Raw genomic sequence first — 5,273 nt, 5'->3', positions numbered from 1 at the left:
GGACCCCCTGCCCCACCGTCAGCAAGGCTGCTGAGATTCAGGGCCAACTGGACAGATCTTTGGCTCAGATGAGCCGCTTGAGCCTTCAGTGTTCTGGGCCGTCTTTTCTGGCCTTCAGAAGGTCTTTGCCAGCCTGAGTGGGCCAGGCCCTGACCGTGGCTGCATCTCCCTGGGAGCCCCATCTCAACTGCCCTCCATCCCCAGTGCTCCTGCTCAGTGCTTCCCACTTTCCCAAGACAAGCTGGCTCCAACAGGCATGTCTAGACCCTGTGTGTTTCTCTTTATGGTGGGCAAAGAAAGAATGATTTCCATTTTCTTTTTATTTTTTCTAACTTTACCTATAACTTACTTATTGTAAAAAGTCTTAGGCTGCCGGAGCCCTGACTCACCCACCCAGGAGGCCCCAGCCATTATTTCAGTACCTTTCCAACCCACCATGTCACTAAATATTTCCACCCTTAACAAAATAGGGAGAAACACGAGCAAGTGCAAATCCACTGGCACCAGAGCTGTGAAGATGGGTCCAGAAGGTCATGCTCATTAGGATTCTACAGGAATTCCATAGAAATAAACAACTCAAGGTTTGTTTGGACAGACTGGCATGGAGAAGTAACTTTGATAGGTTCCGGTACACAGACATTAAGCTTCCCAACAGCCGTGAGTTTACAGATTCCTCTTCCTGAATTTGGCCATGTTTTTTCGATGTGTAAATTGCCATCATGGCCACACACATGTAGAATAGTTTATACCATTCATTTTGTATTACTAATTGCTCAATTTGGCTGACAGTGCTTCATACATCATGGTTGGTTTCCAACCTTTCTTGAAAATTGGAAGTGATGGCCTTTTATGGAATGTTGTTTTTGACACACTTCCATCTAAGGCTTTGTGTCCCCACAGTGCTAAGAAGACAAGTAGTCATCACTCCCATTTTGAGGGGGTCAGGGGAAGCAGACACAATTTGAGAATACAAAGTACCTTGGAATCAGAATTCACCTTTCAATCAGTTTTAGTGTAAATTGCACATCCATTAGAATAGCCTGTTCATGCTCTCTTAAGATTTCAAGGAGGGACAATTGTCACCTTTGAAAAATCAAAGTGACCAATGGACATCCCTCAGATGTTTGTCTGTTTGTGGCGCTTGGTCATGCCATTGTAGATCATTTCTTTTGGAATCACTGTGTGATGAGAATCCCCAGGCTGGAGAGCTGGGCACCGCGGAGTCCCTGTGGGAGAAGTGTTATTGCGGTCGCTAAAGTGACAGACACTGCAGCCCGCGGGAAAGCAGCATCCGCGATTTTCTCTGGCGCAACTCGGGTCCTAGGTGAGGCAGCCAGTCCAACAGCTTATTCCGTGTGTGGAAGGGCGAACCTGGGCCTCCGCGCGGCTTCAGCTTCTAGGAAACAGGCAAGGGCCAGGGAAAGCCTTATACGTTTACCGCGGCGGTGTGTGGGGCCTGCATCCGCCACTGGGTGCCCCACTTCTTCCTGCAGTGCTGGGTCCTGTTCCATTCCTTCTAGAGGCTTCAGAGGACTTTCCTCTCTGACTGCCGGCATGTCTGCCTGGATGCTGCAGGACCCCCCACATCTGCGGATTTTCTGAGTCTCTATAGTGCCAGGTGCCCCACTGTGACAAGGAGGATGAACAAAAGCAGGAGATTAGAGCCGTGAGGGAAAAAAAAAGCAGGAGAGATGCTGTAGGGGGGAAGTCTGATGGTACTGCCTCTAACATGGAGGCTGCTGGTGCCGCTCGGGCAGGGCTGGTCGCTGCCAGGACGAAGTGATCTGCTGTGCTGTAGATTCTCACCGTGTCCACCCTTTCCCCTTCGGGGACGCCTCGGTAACCAGCTGAAGCACTGGTTCTGCGTCCGGAACAAAGACTGCGGACCCTGGCGCGGGCTTCAGCCTGCAGGACATAAGCGTGAGCCATGGAGCACCCCACATGTCTAGGTTGTTGTGGGCTGGACCTGCAGCCCCCACTGGGCTCCTGACTTCTTCCTGGAGTGCGGGGGTTTTGTTCTGTTCATTCTGGATGCGGCAGATTACTTTCCTTCTGGTCTTCCTGCACGGTCGCCTGACCCCTGCAGGACCCAAGATCAGTGGGGTTCCCGGGTCTCCATGGTGTCAGGCGCCCCATTGTGACGACAAGGAGGATGACCAAAACTATGCCAGTGGTTGAGGAAGAAGATAAGGAGGAGGAGTGGAGCTGCAGGGAGGAGGCTCGACAGGATCGCCTCCAGCCTGGGGCAGCTGGGTTGGCGAGGCGGGGGCTGGTTGCTGCCCTGGCGGGCGAGGTGATAAACCATGTTGTAGAATGCCATTATCCCCACCTCCAGCTGGGGGCGCCTGGGCGTATCTGAAAACCTTGGGGGAAGTGTTCACGTTTTTGGCGCTTAAGAAAAGGAAGAAGCGGCAGCTAGCTGCAGAGGCTGTTCCAGGCCTTCCAGCGACATCGCAGAACCTGCACCGAGTGCCACTTGGACCGCAGTCTGGACCTGAAGCCTTGGGCCGGGGCACCCGTAGGAGCTCAGCCCTCACCGCTCCCGCCCTCTTTGGATTCTCTTCTCCCCGAGCTTGGCCAGAGTTCAGGTCTCCTGGTTTCTGGTCTGCCCGGTAAGAGTGCAGGAGTGCAGAGGTGAGGAGGGGGAGTTAGGAGTCTTGTTCCGGTTCTCAGCATAGTGAGAAGTCTGAAAAGAGGTGATGATCCGGTTGTGCTTGAAGGGGAGAGGCCAAAGCCCAGGACATTCTGCCTTTTTAGGGGATTTACCTTTCAAGCCCTATTTGGTCTCCACTAGCCTTTGCTTCTGAGGATGAAGGAGTTGAGCCTCTGTTACATGGATGTCTACAGAGATCATACCCCTTGCCCTGAACGACCGAGAGACTGATAGCTCTAGGGCCAGCACCTGAGAAGCCTGTAGCCTGCCTGCCAGTGGACTCCTGTATCCGGAGTAGACAGCCCTCCTGACCCCCCTGCTGGCTGCCTGCCTCTAGTGTCTTTGATTCCTGCAGCTGGCCAGGCCTTCCTTGCAAATGACGCTGAGATTCAGCAGTTTGTGCACAGATCAGATTGGCTGCTTGAGTCTTTGGCATCCTGAGCCATCTCCCTTGGGCCTTCAGAAGGGCTATGTCATCCTCGGTGGGCATGGCCTGGATCCTGTGACCTCTCCATGGGTGTCCAGTCTCACCCTGCCTTCAATCACTCGCTCAGCCTTTCCGGCTTTTTGGGGACAAGCCCCGATCCACCAGACACGTCTATTACCTGTGTGTTTCTTTTAGCAGTGTTCAAAGAAAGAGATCTATTTCCATTTTTTCTCCCATAACTTGACCTCTAACTCATTCATCATAATATAAGCTTGACGGGTAGACATGCCCGTAAATGTGTGTCCAAATGCTTACTGTGGGAAAGAGGTCTGCCTCCTGCTAAGCTGATTTCCTGGTGAGCTCTGGGAAATTCTTCCTGACTAATGGGTTGTTTCAGCATTGCAGTCTTGCTCTTTCTGTGGATCCAGATTCGGAAAAGATTGTGCCTTTTGGTGAAACTCCTGAATCTACAGGAGATAATCGAAAAGGCTGAAGGTCTGTGCAGATGGCTGGTGCTGCTGCTCAAGCAGAAAGAGAAACTTCTTTGTGGCTTGTGTCTGCTCCCAACACAGGAGAGACTTGGGGTGTCCAGTCAGCTGTGGTGCTCCTACTTTGGATTCTCATTGAAGCTGAGGCTTCCTCTTTAAGGACACACCTGCCAGGCCAGCATGCTCATGGTCCTTGTCCTCCTGGCACATTCTTTGGTACAGAGGTTAAGATCCTGATGATGTGAGAGTGTGCCTCCTAGAGTTGGTCCTGTTGACACATGGCCCCTGAGTGCCACGGAGGTTTGGAGATCTCTTTTGTATGCAGGGCCTGGATGAGCTGGTGCATTGCCACCCTTGATGCCTGACTTGGGCAGCCCACAGAGGGATCCCAGGGACCATAAGATGTGTATGGTAGAGGAAGAACTGGTACAACTGACCCTTTGCTGGTGAATGGATTGAAGGCAGGAAGAAGATAGGTTCTTCTTGGATAGATGTACAGGTGGCCTTGCTGCAGCTGAACAGTCAGGTGAAGCCTCTCACTTAGGCCTAGTGCTGGAGAATTTACAGGCCCACTTCTGCTCTAGCCTGCACGACTGATCCTTTGATCTGACACCAGATCTGAATTCTGGACTCTGGAATGCCTGTCTGTTTTACCAGTTTCTCTTTGGTGGTGATGCTAGGAAAGCAATTTTTCTCAAAGGCTTGGATGTGGACACTAGTCTGGTATCTAATAATTGCTGCCCACTTTTTCCTGACTTCTTGGGAGAGGCATTCATGAGTCCAAAGCTGAGGTCAAAATCACTTCTGTCTTATCTGACATTATCTCTCAAAGCAAATCTGGATTCTAGCCTCCAGAATGCCCATTTCTTGGGCCAGTTTTTCACTGGTAAATCTGCAAGGGTACAGGTTCCATTTAAACCATGCTGGTTGGGTATCCTTTTGACTTGGCATAAAATACTTCTCCTTCATTATGATTCACTTGGGTGAAAGCCAACAGAAAGTCTGGAAAGATCCACTGTGAAAAGATTTCATCTGGACTCCACAGACACCGCTGGCCAGCTCTCACTTGCACAGGATTTCCGCACACCGAGCCAGCCCCAGCCCTTGCTTCAATATTTTCCCACTCCAGCTCATTAAACATTTTAGTTTTTTGTTATATATTTAAGACACTGAAGAAAGCATAGGAAACCAGCAAAAATTGAATTTTGCTGGAATTTAAGTTTGAGAGCAGCCCGCAAGAGGAACACATTGGGTGGGTAGACATGTTGTGCTTTTTAATTTTTTTCCTGTAAGATAGTCAACAATAATTAATTTGAACAAGAAAAAAATGGTTGTCATACATATATAAAAGTAAAGTCTAGAAAAATAAAAAGTTTTTGTTTTGACCTAATTCAGATTATATAAAAATAGAAATCACAGTATTTGTTTTTACATATTTTGAAAATTAAATAACCTTGAAATGATAAAGTGCAGAAAATAATGTGAATAATAATGTTGAGTTTTCTAGTCCCTCTTCTGATCCTTCATCCTGGTAGCTTATATCCTGTTTTGCTGCATAATAAATAATTTTATTCTCACCTTTGGGAAATACCAAATTTGGAGTGTCTGTAGTGAGTTTATTTCTGGTTTTTATAGTTACACACCTGGAAGTTGGACAAACCCCACATTGATTTGACATCATTGTGATTAGTCAGTCGGTATGTAA

The 5,273-nt window shown here is 49.0% G+C and overlaps 1 long non-coding RNA gene across 2 annotated transcripts; it reads right to left on the bottom strand.

Moving 5' to 3' along the window:
- Positions 1-301: 301 nt before the first annotated feature.
- Positions 302-2,091, bottom strand: LOC112268173 (uncharacterized). 2 transcript variants are annotated; one of them, NR_157262.1, is made up of 2 exons: positions 1,807-2,091; positions 302-1,626 (listed from the first exon to the last, which is right to left on the bottom strand). It is a non-coding gene; the product is annotated as an uncharacterized LOC112268173 (long non-coding RNA). The 2 variants fall into 2 exon arrangements; NR_157261.1 differs by having other exon boundaries at positions 302-2,091.
- Between the last annotated feature and the right edge of the window lie 3,182 nt (positions 2,092-5,273).

Source organism: Homo sapiens, chromosome 16 (genome assembly GCF_000001405.40).
Source record: "Homo sapiens chromosome 16, GRCh38.p14 Primary Assembly".
NCBI lineage: Eukaryota > Metazoa > Chordata > Mammalia > Primates > Hominidae > Homo > Homo sapiens.
This window is presented reverse-complemented; position numbering and strand designations above follow the sequence as displayed.